We start from the raw sequence: 19,590 nt of genomic DNA on the forward strand, positions 1-19,590 counted from the left end.
TATAAAAATCTCATTATTTGTAAATTAGTTGATAAATGTTATAAAGGGGTGATAAAAGCTTTATTCAGAATATCAAAACAAGTTATATTGAATAATACTGGGGGAAAATACAAAATTTCAATTACAAGATGGGTAAGTTATAGACAATCTAATGTAAGCACAGTGTGTCCAGAATTGGTGGGTTCTTGGTCTCACTGACTTCAAGACTGAAGCCGCGGACCCTGGCCGTGAGTGTTACAGTTCTTAAAGATGGTGTGTCCCGAGTTTGTTCCTTCTGCTGTTTGGACGTGTTTGGAGTCTCTTCCTTCCTTCTGGTGGGTTCAGGAGTGAAGCTGCAGACCTTCTCGGTGAGTGTTATAGCTCATAAAGGTAGTGTGGACACAAAGAGTGAGCAGCAGCAAGATTTACTGCAAAGAGCGAAAAAACAAAGCTTCCACAGTGTGGAAGGGTACCCGAGTGGGTTGCTGCTGCTGCTGGCTCCGGAAGGCAGTCCGCTTTTATTCCCTTATCTGAACCCACCCGCATCCTGCTGATTGGTCCATTTTACAGAGAGCTGATTGGTCCGTTTTAAAGAGTGGTTCTGAGCTAGACACAGAGTGCTGATTGGTGCATTTACAATCCTTTAGCTAGACATAAAAATTCTCCAAGTCCCCACCAGATTAGCTAGATACAGAGTGCTGATAGGTGAATTTGCAGTCCTCTAGCTACACATATAAGTTCTCCAAGTCCCCTCCAGATTAGCTAGATACAGAGTGCTGATTGGTGCATCCACAAACCCCCGAGCTAGACACAGAGTGCTGATTGGCGCATATACAGTCTCTGAGCTAGACATAAAAGTTATCCAAGTCCCCACCGGACTCAGGAGCCCAGCTGGCTTCACCTAGTGGATCCAGCGCCTGGGCCTTGGTGGAGCTGCCCAACAGTCCCGCGCTGTGTGCCGCCTGCACTCCTCAGCCCTTGGGCAGTCGATGGGACTGGGTGCTGTGGAGCAGCGGGCAGAGCCCTGCCGGGGAGGCTAGGGCTGCCCGGGAGCCCACGGGGAAGGGGGGAAGGGGACGAGGGGGGGAGGGGTGCGAGGGGTGGGCGGGTTCGGGCATGGCGGGCTGCAGGTCCTGAGCCCTGCCCTGCCGGGAGGCGGCTAACACCTGGCGAGAATTCAAGCATAGCACAGACGGGCCATCAGTGCTGGGGTACCCAGCGCCCCCTCCACAGCTGCTGGCCTGGGTGCTAAGCGCCTCACTGCCCAGGCCGGCGGCGCCCGCCCGCTAAGAGTGTGGGTCCCACCGAGCCCACGCCCACCCGGAACTCCGCGCTGGCCTGCCAGTGCGGTGCGCAGCCCCGGTTTCCGCCTGTGCCTCTCTCTCCACACCTCCCCCAAACCGAGGGAGCCGGCTTCGGCCTCCACCAGCCCAGAGAGGGGCTCCCACAGTGCAGCGGCGGGCTGAAGGGCTCTTCAAACGTGACCAGAGCGGATGCCAAAGCCCAGTAGGCGGTGAGAGCGAGCGAGGGCTGCTAGCACCTTCTCATCTCTCAATAATAATTACAGTTAATAATTTTGTATTGTTTACTTGAAATTTGATGAGAGCAGATTTTCTTTACCTCCATCCCCCACAGGCAAAATGGTAACTATGGGTGATTATGGATGATGATAGATGTGTTAATTAATTTTATTGTGGTTATTGCACAATGTATACATATATGAAATCTTCACATTTTATACTTTGAATATATACAATCTTTATTTGTCAATTGTAAAGCTGGAAAAAAGACTGGGGTGGGATCTTACGATTTAAATCAGTTAAAACATTATTTGAAAAGATAGGTTTTTAATTTTTGAAATCATATATATGAACTAAAAATTAGATGGGAGTTTTAAATCCCAGGATTATTTTCAAATTAAGGATTTTCTGAGTATTAGGACATGACCAACCTGCCAATTATTGTATTGCCAAATACGGGCAATATGTAAATCTTAACTTCATCACACTTCATTGCTGGTGATGTTACATAAACCATTTGAGGTATTTCTTCGTATGTGAAATAGAAATAAGGATAATTTCTACCATATATGGGTTTCCATGATTAAATGAGATTACACATCAAAGCACAGAATCTGGACTAGACGCAACATTCAATGACATTAGCCCATCATTAGTAGATGTTTGAAGAGGTAGAGCTCAATGGTGCTTGTTTCCAGTCCTGTGCCTTTTCTCCCTGACCCAGCTAAGAGAGAACAAAAATGGTGCTTGTTGGGCTGTGCTGGTGGAATGAAACTCAGATTAAGGGAAGGCAGATTTTATGTGTCCATTCAAATTAGCTTCCCTGGGACTAGTTCTAACAGATTTTAAAACAAACCATAAAGTTGCAATACTTAACATACGTCATTCAATTTCTAAGTGTTGCACCTGATGTGATTTCTGGTCTCTAGACCTCACAATGTTATAGACAGGAATAGACACAGAACTATATCCATGTAAAGGGAGAGGGCATTTACCTATAAAAGATGATAGAAATGTTCTTATGAGCCTTCCACAGAATCTGCTAAATGTATGTGAATGGCTTTGACTATTAAACTCTTCTGTGCTGACAGCTCTGTGCAAGAGAGGCTACATACTTTGTGGGGCTCAGTGCATAATGACAATGCCAGGCTCCACTTTAAGTAGTAAAAAACAAGTACTAGTAAATGTACTAAAATATAAAGATTTTTTCTTTCTTCTGCAGTCTCTCTTAACCTGAAAAAATATATATGTTCAATTTACTATTTAATCTCATTCTTCCTCAGGCTTGGGGATACCTGTGGGGCCATTGCAGATACTCACAGGCAACTGAGGGCCCTGTCCCATAAGTAAGCAGGCTTGCACGGGCCCCCAGTTGGTGTTTCCCCTCTCCCTCAAGCTGCCAGACCAACAAACTCTATTTTATAGAGGGCAGGGACATCAAGCTGGGCCACAACCTAAGTGGACTAACAACTCGGGTGGACCAACAACTCCAAAGAATATTCAACTTCTGCTCTGGAAGGTGAGCACTAGTTAAACATATCAGTGGTGGGTAAAGAATGACCTCCACGAAGTCCCATTGTGCCCCTCCCCAGGACTCCACAGGGTGAGCACACCTTACCCACCCTCCAGACGCTTCTGCTCAGGCTCCAGCTGGTGACCCAGGATAGCAGCAGTCTCTGGGAAGGAGAGGGGAGGGAGAGACCAAGAATATGTCCAGAGGAAGTGGAGGGAGATGGAACTGCTAGTGAGCAGAGGTTCCAAATACCTGTGAGTATGCTCTGTTTTCTAAAGAGTTTCACCAGCAACACACAAATTCAAAGATAAAAGTATTAAGATTTTTAAGATAGAGACGCCATTAAACCCCAAGTGCTAGTCTTTCTATCCCCAGAGCCTTGCCCTCTGTCACTGCTCTTATTGCAAGCTCATTGAGAGAGAGAGACCAAGACAGAGAGAGAGAGAGAGAGAGAGAGAGAGAGAGAGAGAGAGAGAGAGAGAGAGAGAGAGAGAGGAGGGAGGAAAAGAAGAGACAGGAAAGGGGAAAGAAAGATATTCTTAGCATTTAGGATGTGCCTCACTGGAACATCAAGTAGTGTTGAGATGTTGGCATTCATTTCACCTTAAGTAATATCTCTTTATTTTAAATATCATATTTATGAATACAAGTAAAACATAATAACCTCTGAATAAAGATTCCTTGATAGACTGTCTTTGGGGTTGGATGCATCCCTGACAGCAACCTGCCTTTCCCAGCACTGCTTTTCAGATAGACCCCCAGGGAGATTTGTGTGCTTATCATCCAACTGATTTTCCTAACTACCATCCCTACTGCCGTCATTGACTAATGTGACTAAATGCTTTTCCTCCTGTTTCAGTAGATAGCCTATTAGGGTTCTCTGTGTGATTTAATTAAATAAGTTACTCCCCAGAGTTCAAAGTCAGAAAATACTTTTTGAAATTGGAACAATTAGGTATACACAGAAAATACATGAAATTAAGTGGAAAGATCTCTAAGAAGCTGTTTCTGTTACTGTCCTTTTTAAAGAAGTCCACTCATTCTCTCATTCTCCGCATGCTTAATTCTGGGAGTGAGAATAGGAATGTGTCTTCTGCTCTTGACCAACAGCCCGCTTCTTTGAATAGTCGATGTTGTTTTCTCATATTCCTCACTACTCTTAGCCAGAACTTCCTTATATGCTTTTGAAAATTTGGCAACTAATTTAGGATGTGCTTCCCTCTTTCGGGTCTTTCAAGTTACAGTGGGAGCCTGAAGGGCTGTTGGCAAGATGAAGCCAGCACCTTAGCAATTTGATTTTCATGAGGAAAGGATGATCTCCATCCTACTTCAGCATCAACCCACACCTAAAGTTCCTCAGTAGAGCTAGTTATCACTGACAACTCTTTCAGTTGTGAAATCTTAGAGTCAGTCCATTACTTGACTCTTAAAAACTTCCTATTCTCTGAGTTCCTATTTCTCACCAGCTTACTCATATTGAATTTGTTCATCTCACATGCATCCAGATTTCCAGTCCTGTGCCTTTTCTCCCTGAGCCAGCTAAGCCTTCTTTTTTCTCTTTCTTCCCTTTTCCATCCTCAACTCCTTGGGCTGTCACCATAATCTTGCTTGTTTTCTCTTCCATCACATACACTTGCAAGATTTCAACTTTGATTCCATTCACAACACCCTTTTCTGTTTCTATGCCTTACAAGTGTCATAGTGACAGGAAAACAAAAACAAAAACAAAAAAACTATCGCTGTCATGGAATTTTACTTCAGATTTACAGTTCATAGCTTCAACCAAGCAATACTTTCATTTTTCCCAGAATTTATTGTTTGGCCATCACCAGGTTTTTTGCCCCTTCCCTGGGTGTCTCCCATTTTTTGTCACTTTCCATGTGGCCTTCATTCTACTTTAGCATTTCTTTAGCAAATAACCTCCCCACTTCACAGAAAGTAGAAAGGTAGTTAGAAATAAAAGCAATAACGTGTGAAAAAAAAATAACCAGAGGGATAAATGGGATATTAGATACTGCAGATATTAGATACTAGAAAGCTAGAAATGATTTGCCCACATCTCATATATTCATTCTCCCTTCCTCTTGACACTATGAAGGTATATGTGTCTGTACCAGTTCTGGTCTTTCTCCTTTCAGACTCCTTGTGTATGAACAGAAGTGATGCCTACTCTCTTTTTGAAATGTGCTTTTCTGTTTTTATCTTTAACACTTTACTTATAGTTTGGCTCTTTTCTTCCAGCAGATGAGCAATTGCTAGTTTCCCCACCTTATCCGTATGGAAAACAAAAATTTAATTCCCTACATCATTATGCTCTCTACCAACCTCTCTGTTTCTAGTTTACAGTTAAAGTTTTTGAAAGACCATTCTATATTGGCTATTATAGGTGGTCACATACAAATTATAAGCAAACATTCACTTCCACTTGATTACCAAACATATTGTAACTCAGGAACCCAAAGATGTTCTAAGGGCACTGTCTCACTTCCTTTTCTTGTCCAGCTCTGACTTTTCTGAGGAATTTGGCATAACTGATTACTACTGTATTCTTGATTCTACCTTAAGCCTTTCGTATTTGCCTTTCCATTTTTCTTTTTCTTCCTTCCATGACCACTCCTGCTTTGTTCCTTTTTACAGGCCTTTCATTATTTTTTTATTTTGGTTTTACTAGGAAACTATTCAGGCCTTCATCTGTGTCTCATTTTCTTCAGTTTCTGTGTGAAATTATCTAAACACATGAATTGGTTCTCTTGCAAATGACCACGATGGAATAACAAGGACAGGATTTACTCTCATGCCTAAACAACTAAAAATATAGATGGAATCTATGAGACAATGATTTTCAAAACATTGGGCATTAAGCATTGAATGGCACTGAGTCTTAAGAGGCAGGAAGCAAATTAGGTAGACACTGACTGCCCCAACTTACTGGCTTCAAGCCATTTCCAGGTCACAGTTTAGGAAGAGGATACCCAGGTAGACTCCAGCACACTCACTGAGTTGAGGAAATGGGGCTGAGATTCTGAGGACCCCAAGACAGGTTGAGTTCACACATCAGAATACTAGATTGCAGAGGTTCACAGAGAGAGCAGAAGAGATTTGCGGGTTCTCCTCTAGTCTTCAGCGGAGTGGTGATCAGCAGATGTTTTCAAGGAAACTACTTGAGACAGTAAAAAGAACCACCCAAAAGGATTAGAAGAAACAATAGCTAGAGCTCTCACAAGGATAAGAAGAGTGAGCAACTGCCCCTCAGCCAGACCAGACAGTTTTATAATAGTTGTGCCACTAAATAGATACTCAGAAAGGTCTGAGTAGTGGGAAATAATCTGCCAAAAGTAAATGCTGCTTTAGTCCTGGCTGACAAGTCTTCAGAGTAAGACCTGAAAATATCCCTTAACAAATAAGTTAACTGTATTCTAGAACAAAGCTCAGGAAAATTTACAGGAATACAAAAATATTCATTACTTAACAAGGTGAAATTTATAATATCTGTCATATAATTTTAAAAAACTGTAAGGTATGCAAAAAAGCAGAAAAATATGACCTATAAAAAGGAAAAACACCATTCAATCAAAACCAACTCAGAACTGACATAGATCTAAGTATTAGGAGACAGGGACATTACAATTCTTATTTTAAATGTATTCAAGATATTTTAAAAGATAGGAGAAATATTGACCATGTTGAGGAGAGAAATGGAAAATCTAAAGAAGACCAAAGTGGAACTTTTAGAAATAAAAACTATGATGGGTTAAAGAAAAATAACCTAAAGGGATTAATTTAGATATTGCCGAAGGAGAGATTAGTAAACTTGAAGCTATAGCAATAAAAATTCTTCAAAATTAAAAACATAGAGGGCAAAAAAAGAAATAATGAAACGTCAGATCTGTGAGACAATGTGAAATGGCCTGATATATGTATAATTGGAGTTTCTAAAGGAAAGCAGTAACAAAACATTTATTTGAATAAATGATCCCCCAAAATATTCTTAATCTGATGAAAATTATAAGGCCACAGATTCTAAGAAGTAAATGAACCCCAAACTTATACACATGAGTTTCAACTTCTCCATATTTGTAGATGATTTTTCACTAGGGAAGACACATCTGCTGGATTAACTCCTTTTCTAAATAACCTATTAGACATTGCTACCTGGATTCCAAGTATACACTTTAAAGGCAATATGGCTAGTCATTCACTTACTTGTTTGTTCAACCAATATGTTACGTGAGAAATAAATGTTTATGTGTGAAGCCACTGAGATAAACAACTTGTTTCTCATAGAATGGGTCTGACATAACTAACCAGCATTAGCTCCACATCAAAGTCTCATGGACCGCTCTTGTTTGGGTTGTATGTTCCCTTCTTTCTATTTCCAAATACACAAAACATATGTCTAATATGATACTTATGCCAATATATCATTTTTTTTAACTTATTTTTCTAAGAAAATGCATTCTGATTTCCCACTAAGTTACGGGTCTCAAGTATCATGACAGCGTCATGTCTAGCATGATGCCTCATTCCTAGAAAATGATCAATAAATATGGATACAAGAATGATTTCAGTTATGGGTACTGAAAATACTGAAAACGTGAACCAGACTGGATCATATAACTGAAAAGTTCGCAGAGGAATGGTTACATACTCGCAGGGCCTTGTGGAAACAGAAAAGGCAGAGTCCCTAGTTCAAAAAGCAGGAAAATGTGTGCATGTAAAGCTATCAAAAACACCTTTACATTTAAAATATTTTACACTTACGTACATAATGAGGTAATAGTGATTGATAAAAGTATAAATTTACAAATTACAAAATTAACAATTTTTAAGTTTCATAATTTTATGTAATACAATAAATAATAATGCCTTTAGTGTATATATTTTTTGAGTATAATATTTTCTTGGCTTGTTTTTCTGCAAATTCATTTGTTAGGTTATCCACATTTGTATTTTTAGTGGCTTGATTTTCAATTGATATAATTGAAGCTGATGTCAATAGTCCTTGGCAAATCAAGATTGCAAATAATTTTTGATAATTGTAATTTAGAGAAAGCTCCAACTGATTCAACTGCTTCTGGAACCGTTAAGAGTGTTTATAGGCTGTGACCTCTTAGGAAAAAAATTCTGATAAATTATTTTAAAATATAGATTTTGATATATCTAGAGCTGATGATTCTTGAGGAATACTTTTTTTCTAAAAGAATTTAATTCTTTATACAAATCAATTGCCCGTAACTCTGAATTCAACTTCAAGTGTAAATTTATACAATGACATTTTATTTTCTCTTCTGACATTTTCTTAACTTGTAAAGATTGTTCATGAAACCAAAAGTGATTTTATAATTTGTAAATAATTCAAATGCCTGTTTATGCGTTCTATGGTTGTATCTGCAATTGCAAGTAAACATTAATTTTAAAATTATCTTGTTAATAATTGTTTAATCTGAGACTATATGAATATAATGTTATTTACTATCAAATGAGACTCTTTAAATTTAATTTCTATTTATCTAAGCCTGCGAATATTTTCTTTGCAATGTTGCAGCAGTTTTCAAAACCAGAAATTCCAAACTCTTTGAAGGCTTCTAATAACTTTTTAATATATTTTATTGCAGTGTCCAAGTTTATTCTTTGAGTTAATTGTAATTTTCTGACAAAATGTATTGCCTGAGTGTCAGCAGTTTTAAATCTCAGTCCCTGGAGTTAACATTTTTACAGATGCCAGTGGGCTAGGCTAGAGAAAAGGGCAAGCCAGCTTCCACGCACTGCAGGCATGAGGAGTCTGCCTTCTCTTGCTGGACCATTCATACTGTGGTCTTCGCTGCTATTTCTGCTGATGCTGTTGCAGACAGATTTGTATCCAAGTCCTGGCTGGGATTTCCCCTCAGAGTTTCTTGAGTCTTGGACTGCCCTAGGCATGTACATGTGTGCTAGGCCAAATCACATGTGTGCTAGATGGTGCTGAGTGTTATCTTCCATGCTCAGGGATATGCTCCATTGCCCCATAGGACTTGATTTACAAACACAGTTTCAAAGATAATAATTATGAATTTCAAAATAGCAACAATGGAGTATTAAATCAAGGGTGGGGGGTCCCTTTTGAGAATGAACCCCGTGGAACTGCCCAGATTACGTGCCCCTAATGTGGTCAAATCTACTTACAGAGGTTGCTCATGTTCAGGTGCTATTTGATGCAGAAGTTTTATACCAGGCTGTCATTTATTTTTCTAAATCTAACTTCTTTCATGTATTGGTTCCATCCATTGAATAGCTTCCTGCATGGTTGCAAAAATGGCTGTAGGTCTTCTAGGTCTCTTGGCCATATATTACACAGTACAGACAAAAGAGTGTCTGTTCCATAATTCCCATTAAGTGTCCTGAGATTCTCACCAGTTACTCATGTTTGAGTTGCATAATTGTTTACCTAGGGGATAGGCTATATGATTGGCTTAGTCAAGCTTGTATGCTTCACCGGTACAGTTAGTTTTCCTGGCTCCCAACATGGAAACTGAGGATTACTGGGAAGTAGGACTTGATCCTGTGGGAGAAATCACAAATGTGCACTACAATATATTTCTTGAAATAATGACTGACTGGCTGGAACGCTTCATTCTGAGTGAAGGTCTGTAAATATGTCTCTTGTTTCCAAAATCTTAACTGGAATTGTAACTAATATTATATAAACTGCTGTCTAGATAATTACAATATGGCAATTGTTAAAAAACTTTGTGATGAGAAAAACCTTATTGCCTTCTTAGGGATATTGGAAAATAAGTATTTGGGACTACATGTGCTGTTTTTGTTTTGTTTTGTTTTTGTTTTCTCTAGCACTGCTAGAGGAATAGATCTCAAAGGTTTGAATGACCAGTACTAATTCTTTTCTCAATATATGTATCTCTAAGGATATACAGGATTAAATACTGGCTTGATGTAACATGAGATTACATAATTTAAAAATTATACCAAATAGGTCTGGTCCAATGGCTCACACCTATAATCCCCACACTTTGGGAGGCCGAGGCGGGTGGATCACTTGAGGTCAGGAGTTCAAGATCACCCTGGCCAATATGGCGAAACCCTGTCTCTACTAAAACTACAAAAATTAGCTGGGAGTGGTGGTGCGTGCCTGTAATCCCAGCTAATGGGGAGGCTGAGACAGGAGAATCTCTTGAACCCAGGAGGTGGAGGTTGCAGTGAGCTGAGATGGCACCACTGCACTCCAGCCTGGATGACAGAGTGAGACACTGTCTCAAACAAACAAACAAACAAAAACAAACAAGTGAAAAAAATTATACCAAATGTAAAAAAAGTTTATATATTTATCTAGAACACATACATTGAATAGTAAAACCAGGCATTGAATGAAGAAAAATTTATTTATTTGATTATTAAATAATGTGACATATAATTTAATTCATTCCCAAGGCATTTTTTTTTTTTTTTTTTACCATGAAAGCCACTAAAGTTTACCTTTGTGGGTTAAGTTATTCCTATAAAACAAAGATTAAGGAAGGTAAAATTTCACCCTTTCAATTTATTCTTGGTTTGTGTATTCAATTAACAAGACAGTAAATTACTACTGTTTGAGTCTGGCAACTAGCCATTAATTTTAATTGAAATGGTATTTTGCAAAATAAGCATGTAATTACACAAGGAGTGATGTTGATGTGATAAGAGAAGTAAGCTATAAAGAATGGTCATTATATATTTTAACATGCTAAAAGTTTTTCAAGTTAGCAGTTGGTAAAATTGCTAAGAATGTTATACCAAGTTCATCTGTTTCTTGGACAAATTTGAAGAATGTAAGTGCAGTTTAAAGATGCTTTAAATTTTTAAAAAAATTTTGATTGTGACAAGAATACTTAATATAAGACTTACCCTTTTAAACATTTAAGTGTACAATATAGTATTTTTGAATATAGGTACAGATACGTTGAAATTATTTATCTTGCTGAAATGAATTTTTTTGTCGATTGATTGTAATTCATCCTGTCCCCCCCACCACCCCCTGTAAATAACCATTTCACTCTTTGATTACATAAAATTAACAATTTTAGATATCCCATTTAAGTGGAATCATGCAGTATTTGCTTTGTGAGACTGGTTTATTTCATTTGGCATAATGTCTTTGTTTTACATGTGTTGTTGCATGTTTAAGAATTTTCTTCTTTTTTAAGGCTAAATAATGTTCAATTGCAGTGTACCCCACATTTTCTTTATTCATTCATCTGTTGATGAACGTATGTTATTTTCATATCTTGGCTACTGTGAACATAGTTGCAATAAATATGGGAGCACTAATATCTCAACACCCTGGTTTCAAACTCTTGGAGTAAATACCAGAACTGGTATTATTGGATCATATGGTAGTTCAATTTTTAAATGTTTGAAGCACTTTCATTGTATTTTACATGGAAGCTGCACCATTTTTCATTCCCACCATTAGTGTATGAGGGTTCCCTTTTCTCTGCACTCTCACCAACATTTGTCATCTTTCTCTTGTCTTTTAGATAATGGTTATTCTTACAGATGTGAGGTGATATCTCTTTGTGATTTTGATTTGCATTTCCTGATGATTAGTGATGTTGAGAATTTTCCCATGTACTATTGGCTATTTGTATTTCTTCTTTGTAAAACTGTCTATCCAAGTCTTTGGCCCCTCCCCTATATTTGTTTTTCGTTTTCGTTTTTTTTTGAGATGGAGTCTTGCTCTGTTGCCCAGGCTGGAGTGCAGTTCAGTGGCGCGATCTCGGCTCACTGCAACCTCTGTTCCCAGGTTTAAGCAATTCTCCTGCCTTAGCCTCCTGAATAGCTGGGATTACAGGCGCGTGCCACCACACTTGGCTAAGTTTTTGTATTTTTAGTAGAGACGGGGTTTCACTGTGTTAGCCAGGTTGGTCTCAATCTCCTGACCTCATGATCTGCCCGCCTCAGCCTCCCAAAGTGCTAGGATTACAGGCGTGAGCCATAGAGACAGAGTTTCACTGTGCTTCCCAGGCTGGAGTACAATGGCTATTCATAGGTGTGATTACAGCACACTGCAGCCTTAAACTCCTGGCCTCAAGGGATATTTTTGCCTCAGCCTTCTGAGTAGCTGGAATTAAAGGTATGCTTCATCATGTCTGGCTAGCCAAATTTTATTGGGTAATTACGTGATCTTTTACTATTGAGTTGAAGGAATTCCACATATATTTTGGAGATTAACCACATCTTAGATATATGGTGTGCAAATATATTTTCTTTCTATAGGTTTCCTTTTCACTCTGATAATCTCCTGCTATTATTTTGGTGGTGTATGTTATCCTCTTCAGTTCTGTCAATACTTACTTTATATATTTAGGTGCTATGATATTGGGAATATATATATTTATAATTTTTATATTTTCTTAATTTACCCTTCTGTTATTAAATAATGATCTTTGTTTCTTTTCACAGTTTTTGACTTAAATTCTTTTTTATCTGATGTAAGTATTGCTACTTCTGCTTTCTTTTAGCTTCTATTTGTATGGAATAGCTTTTTGCACTTTTTCTGTGTATGTTGTGTCTTCAAACTGAAATGAGTCTATTGTAGGCAGTGTATAGATGGGTCTTCTTTTATATCTATTATATGTCTTTTTGTGTCCGGAATTGGTGGGTTCTTGGTCTCACTGACTTCAAGAATGAAGCCGCGGACCCTCGTGGTGAGTATTACAGTTCTTAAAGGCAGCATGTCCGGAGTTTGTTCCTTCTGATGTTCAGATGTGTTCGGAGTTTCTTCCTTCTGGTGGGGTTCGTGGTCTCGCTGGCTCAGGAGTGAAGCTGCAGACCTTCCCGGTGAGTGTTACAGTGCTTAAGGCTGTGCCTCTGGAGTTGTTCGTTCCTTCCGGTCGGTTCGTGGTCCCGCTGGCTTCAGGAGTAAAGCTGCAGACCTTCGCAGTGAGTGTTACAGCTCATAAAGGCAGTGTGGACCCAAAGAGTGAGCAGCAACAGGATTTATTGCAAAGAGCAAAAGAACAAAGCTTCCACAGTGTGGAAGGGGACCCGAGCAGCTTGCCACTGCTGGATTGGGCAGCCTGCTTTTACTCTCTTATCTGGCCCCACCCACATCCTGCTGATTGGTAGAGCCGAGTGGTCTGTTTTGACAGGGCACTGATTGGTGTGTTTACAATCCCTGAGCTAGACACAAAGGTTCTCCACGACCCCACCAGATTAGCTAGATACAGAGTGTTGAAACAAAGGTTCTCCAAGCCCCACCAGAGTAGCTAGATACAGAGTGTTGACTGGTGCATTCACAACCCTGAGCTAGACACAGGGTGCTGATTGGTGTGTTTACAAACCTTGAGCTAGATACAGAGTGCCGATTGGTGTATTTACAATCCCTTACCTAGACATAAAGGTTCTCCAAGTTCCCACTAGACTCAGGAGCCCAGCTGGCTTCACCCAGTGGATCTCGCACTGGGGCTGCAGGTGGAGCTGCCTGCCAGTCCCGCGCTGTGCGCCCACACTCTTCAGCCCTTGGGTGGTGATGGGACTGGGCGCCGTGGAGCGGGTGGGGGCGCTCATCGGGGAGGCTCCTGGTAGCACAGGAGCCCACGGAGGGGGTGGGAGGCTCAGGCATGGCGGGCTGCAGGTCCCGAGCCCTGCCCTGTGGGAAGGCAGCTAAGGCCCCGCGAGAAATCGAGCGCAGCGCTGCTGGGCTGGCACTGCTGGGGGACCCAGTACACCCTCCGCAGCTGCTGGCCTGGGTGCTAAGCCCCTCATGGCCCAGGCTGGCAGGGCTGGCCAGCTGCTCCGAGTGGGGGCCTGCCAAGCCCACGCCCACCCGGAACTCCAGCTGGCCCGCAAGCGCCGTGCGCAGCCTTGGTTCTCGCTGGCGCCTCTCCCTCCACACCTCCCTGCAAGCTGAGGGAGCCGGCTCTGGCCTTGGACAGCCCAGAAAGGGGCTCCCACAGTGCAGTGGTGGGCTGAAGGGCTCCTCAAGTGCCACCAAAGTGGGAGCCCTCGAGCAAGGGCTGTGAGGACTGCCAGCATGCTGTCACCTCTCCTTTTGACTGGACAGTCTAATCCATTTACTTTCAAGTGAATTAATAATTTTCTGCAGTGGTGTGCTTTCTTTCTCTTGATTTTTTTGTGCATCTACTATAGATTTTTGCTTTGTGGTTACCATGACACTTACATAAAATATCTTATGGTTAGCCTATTTTAAGCTGATAAAAACCTAACTTCAATCACGTACAAAAACTGTACACTTTTACTCTACCTGTCTCATATTTTATGGTTTGGCGTCACAATTTACAACTCTTTATATTTCATACCCATTTAAAAATAGTGTAGCTATAGTTATTATTAATATTTTTGTCTTTTTACCCTTATACTAAGGATATGATTTATTTACGCACCATCATGACAGTATTAGAGTGTTCTGAATTTGACTATATACTTACTTTTGCCAGTGAGTTTTATACTTTATATGTTTTCATGTTATTAATTAGTGTCATTTTATTTCAACTGGAAGAACCTTACTTAGCATTTCATATAATGAAGGTCTAGTGGTAATGAACTTCTCAGATTTTATCTGTAAAAGTCATTATTTCTCATTTATAGGACTGTTTTGCAGGGTAAAGTATTCTTGGTTGACAAGTTTATCTGTCTGCAATGTAAATATTTCATCTTACTTTTTCCTGGCTTGTAAATTTTCTGCTGAGAAGTCTATTGATAGCCTTATGGAGTTGCCCTCATTGCAAGGGATCCCTTTTCTCCTGATGCTTTCAAGATTCCCACTTTGTCTTCGATTTTTGACAGTTTGAGTGTATGTTTTGGTGAAGCTTTTTTGGAACTGAACTTGAGTTTCAATCTTTGAGCTTTATGTATCTCAATGTCCGCATTTGTCCCTGATTTGGAAAGTTCTTAGCCAGTCTTTATTTAAATAAACTTTCTGCCCCTTTCTCTCTTGCTTCTTCTTCTGTATCTTCTATTATGTGAAATAGAGCTTTCTTGGTGGTGTGCATCAATCCCACAGGCTTTCTCCATTCTTTTTTGTTCTTTTATTTTTCCTCTGAATGAGTATTTTCAAATAACGTGTCTTTGAGCTCATAGGTTCTTCTTTCTCCTTGATTAAGTCTGCTGTTTACAGAATCTATTGCGTTTTCATTTCATTCATTGTATTATTCAACTCCAAAATATATTTTTGGTCCCTTTTAATGACTTCTATTTCATCATTAAACTTCTTTTGTTCTTGTATTAGTTTTTGTATTTTGTCGCATTGTCTATCTCTGTTCTCTCACAGCTTATTGAGCATCCTTAAAGCATTACTTTGAATGTTTTATAGGTAATTCATAGATTTCCATTTCTTTGGGGTTGTTTGTTTACAAGATTTTACTTTGTTCCCTTGGTGATGTCAGGTTTCCATAGGATTTTGTGCACCTTGAAGTCTTGCCCTGCTGTTTTTGCATTTGAAGTAGGAGTCATCACCTCCAATCTTTAACAATTGTCTTCAGGAGAAAAACAACCTTACAAAACAACCCAGCTAGAGATTCTGAGGCTTCTTAAACTCTATTCTGTTGTTTCACTTACTTTACGCTTTTTGTTCCCTCTTTGGGGTGTGGATTTCTTAAGGTTATATGTGTTCTACTGCATAGCCAGGACAAGAGTTGACAGCCTCCTATATGTTTTTTTTAGGGAAGTACCCCAAAATGCTCAAGTTTGTGTGCCTTTTCCCAGTCCTACAGATTCAAACCTTTTGTCTGTGGAGAAACCTGACAAACACTACCTTGCCAAAGTAACCAAGATTAACAATTAACAAATGATATTGACAGTGTGTACTCTTGAAATTATATGATAGAATGTTACTTTACTCCTGTGTTCATCCTCCCTAAAAACCTACAATTTCAGTTTAATCATGAGAATAAACATCAGAAAAACCCAAATTGAGGGACATTCTACAAAACTTCTGGTCAGTATTCCTCAAGACTGCCTGGTCGTCAAAAAAAAGAAAAAAGCCTTAGAAAATGTTATAACCAAGAAGAGCCTAATGAAACACAAGGATGAAATGTAATACGGTATCCTAAAACAGACACTAGGAAAACAAATCAAATTAAAAAGATACTAGGTAAGAACTTAGGAAATAAAATATAGACTTTATTTGATAATATTTAATAATAATGGTTTATTGTGAAAAACTGTATTATATGAATGTAAAGTATTCATAATAACAAACTATGCATGGAATATGTGGGAATTCTCTACGTCACCCTTGCAACTTTTCAGTAAATCTAAATGTTTCAAAATAAAAAAAGAAAAAGTTTATAAACAAAGTAAAACAGAAAACATAAATAATATTCTCAATATATCAGAGAAAAATAAATGTCATACACAAGGGAGTAAACAAGAACAAATATTTAATGAATGCTAGAAAACTTGAAATTCCCTAAATTTATTTATTTTAAAATTTTATGCTTTTATTATACTTAGTTTACTAAAATTTTATTTGAAAACACATTGATTCATTTTCTATAGTATAATGCCTCCCAATAATTAAGGACTTTAGGACTATAGAACAGGTGAGGTGAGATATACATTTTGTACTGGCTTTCACCTTTTCATGCATTTACAATTACTATTAACATATTTCAAATACTAGTGGCTACTCTGGGCATTCAAAAATGAATAATATGAATGTATTCTCTTATTGTAATGAATTGAATAATCTCACAGTCTAGTAAGAGAGATTAATACATAAACAGTGAGTTAGAGTGCAATGTGATATGTGCCAAGAAAGGACAAGGAAGGGAGTGTATAAATATTTTAGGCTTCAGAAAACTCAGGTTTATAAAATCTCTGATAGCCCTATTACTTGCTTGATTGAGGTATGAAGTTACTATTACTCAAAACCCTGCTCTTTTGAAAGCCACTGATGTTTCAGCATTATTTCTTTATTATGCCATAATTTAATTTTTTTCTTAGTAAAGACATGGAATATTAATATTGAGACAATAGAAAAAAATTCAAGATTATGTATTACATCTTCCTAACTTACCCATAAGTCCCATGTAAAATGATATGAATCAAGTCATCTGTCCTATTTTTGAGCAAATTTAAGGATGGAAAGCCCAATATACTTTAGGATAGCCAACTCCATTGTTGTAGCAACCCAGTTATTCCAAATTTTCTTCAAAAGTAACTCTTAATTTTGCTTTCAGTCATTTTTCATTTATTATAGACCTGCCTTTGTTTCTTCCAACCTTTAAATAGAGGGCATTAATAAAAGCATGAATGTAATTTAAAATTTTAATTACTTTGCAGGTACACATGGCAGAATCAATTTATAAACATCAATGAAAACATACTTTATACAGTTTTTAATGCATCACAAATTTAATAGCTATCATTTTAGTGGCATATCATTAAATATTATTTTCCCAACTTTTGGAAAGCATGTTTCGGTTTCTGTTACTAAAAAATGTAAAGACCTTCTCCATTTCAAGCATGAATTTTGATCTAATAGAAGTAAGTTAAAGCAAATGGAGTAGTTAAAAACATGCCTTTATCTTACCTGAAAACTTCATTGAATAATATGCATAGATTTTAAACATATCATTAGAAAACATTGTCATTAGGGATATGGTATAGAAAGATACATTTAGATGTATATCTAGCTATCAAAGAATGTAGAATAATATTCCTCTTGTTAAATTTGTTATGAAAAGAAAAGAATAAAACCAATACTGTGTGACATTGAGATTTTATAAGTGTTAAACAGTAATGAAAATATTAGCAAAAAGAAATAGTGTAAGCAATTTTATACATGCTTTCGCATAATGTTTGTAGTGTTCATACCACATTGAATGTTAAATTATCCGGATAAAAAATTTATTCAATTTCTGTAAGATTAAAAGTAAATTATTTTTGTTCCTAATTTGATGTAATGTTGATTCCTAACATTGGCCAGCCTCTTCTGTATTCCTGAGGGTTGAACTGAAGAATTTCAAATGTGAATGATAAAATACAAATAATTCTATTCATGTACTTCTACTAATACAAGTTAAAATTATTTTATTCTCTTCTTTTCTCATTGCTGTCTTGACAAACTTCTATGTATTTTGAACTCCGTCTTTTTTTCACATAAATGATTGATTACTTTAATGTACCTAAAATTATGCTTAATTTAGTTGCAACTATATTTAATATAAATGTAGACTTTTATCCCCAACCAAATTTACTTTTGTTGGCCTTACATTATTCACTGCAAGGGATACAGATATCTGTCTTACAAAATATCTTACAGTGAACCTTGGAAATGATCTATACAGTACAACAAAGACTAAATAAAATAAAAAGGGTAAAAGGTGTATAGTTTAAATCATTTTATCTATCTATCTATCTAGCTGATATTTATGAATATAATAGCATTTTAAAATGATTGCTATTGGATTTCCTGTTTCTAGTATGTCATGTAAGGAGCTTAGAAGTTGCCAATCCATTTTACAAACATGTAAAAAAATTAAAAAATATTGAAAAATCAACATTTCTTCTTAGACCCCTAAGAGAAATGAGGTCACAAGGCAAAAGGCTGCCCCCAAAATTAGAGAGATAAACAGGCAAAAACAAAGAGAGAATCACAATTTACTAGAGCAGAAACCTCTGTGGGAGTCACTGCTAGTAGAAAAACCTAAACTGTAACTAACAAATGCTGGAGGCTTGGTGTGAAAAAAACTAAAAGATAAACACTCTAGGGTGACCCAGTCATCAGGGACCCCTGACAGTTTTGTGAGTTTTAACTCCTGGAGTGCTACCAGGTTCTCATAGTGAACAGCACAGAAAAACAGCAGAGAAAATTCCCTCATGTTTCTGGCAGGTGACAGAAGAGGACCCATCTTGAAATATACCATAGCATTCTGTTCTTCTTAACAAGATTGACCCTGAGGAGAAACTATTTAACCAAGGCCTGACCTACTTAAGTTTTATTAGAGCCTAACTGACCTGAAGGAAGGGAATTACCCAAGTCTACACAACTCTAGTCTTTCATGTGTAGGAAGGGAAATATCAAATTTTAGGTCCACTACCCTTCCACAGGGGAGAATGGAAAACCTAATTCCAATCCACTCTAGCTATCCTTTTCTACCTAAAGGAGGGTGGTAACTGAGAGGCAATGATGACATTCACAGCCCAGAGGCACAGGCACAATAAAAAAATGAGAAATAATCATAGGGCTATAAAATGCTCCCCTTCCCCCACAACTTACCGTGACATTACTAAATTCCAATTTAGAGCCATTCCTTTTGCCAGTGGATTATGTGTGGCAATCAAAATAAAATTATAAGGCATAGTAAAAGGCAAAACAAAATGAAACAGTTTGAAGAGAGAGAGCCAGCATCAGAACCAGACTCAGATATGGCTGGTATTTTGGAATTAACAAATAATTTAAAGCAACTATGATTAATATGCTAAAGACACTAATGGATAAAGTAGACAATGTTCAAGAACAGATGGGCAATGTAAGCAGACAGATGGAAATTCTGAGAAGGAACCAAAAAGAAATGGAAGAGAGCAAAAACAATGTAATAGAAATGAAGAATGCTTTTAATGGGCTTGCAAGTAGAT

This window comes from Homo sapiens, chromosome 5 (assembly GCF_000001405.40).
Source record: "Homo sapiens chromosome 5, GRCh38.p14 Primary Assembly".
Taxonomy (NCBI): domain Eukaryota; kingdom Metazoa; phylum Chordata; class Mammalia; order Primates; family Hominidae; genus Homo; species Homo sapiens.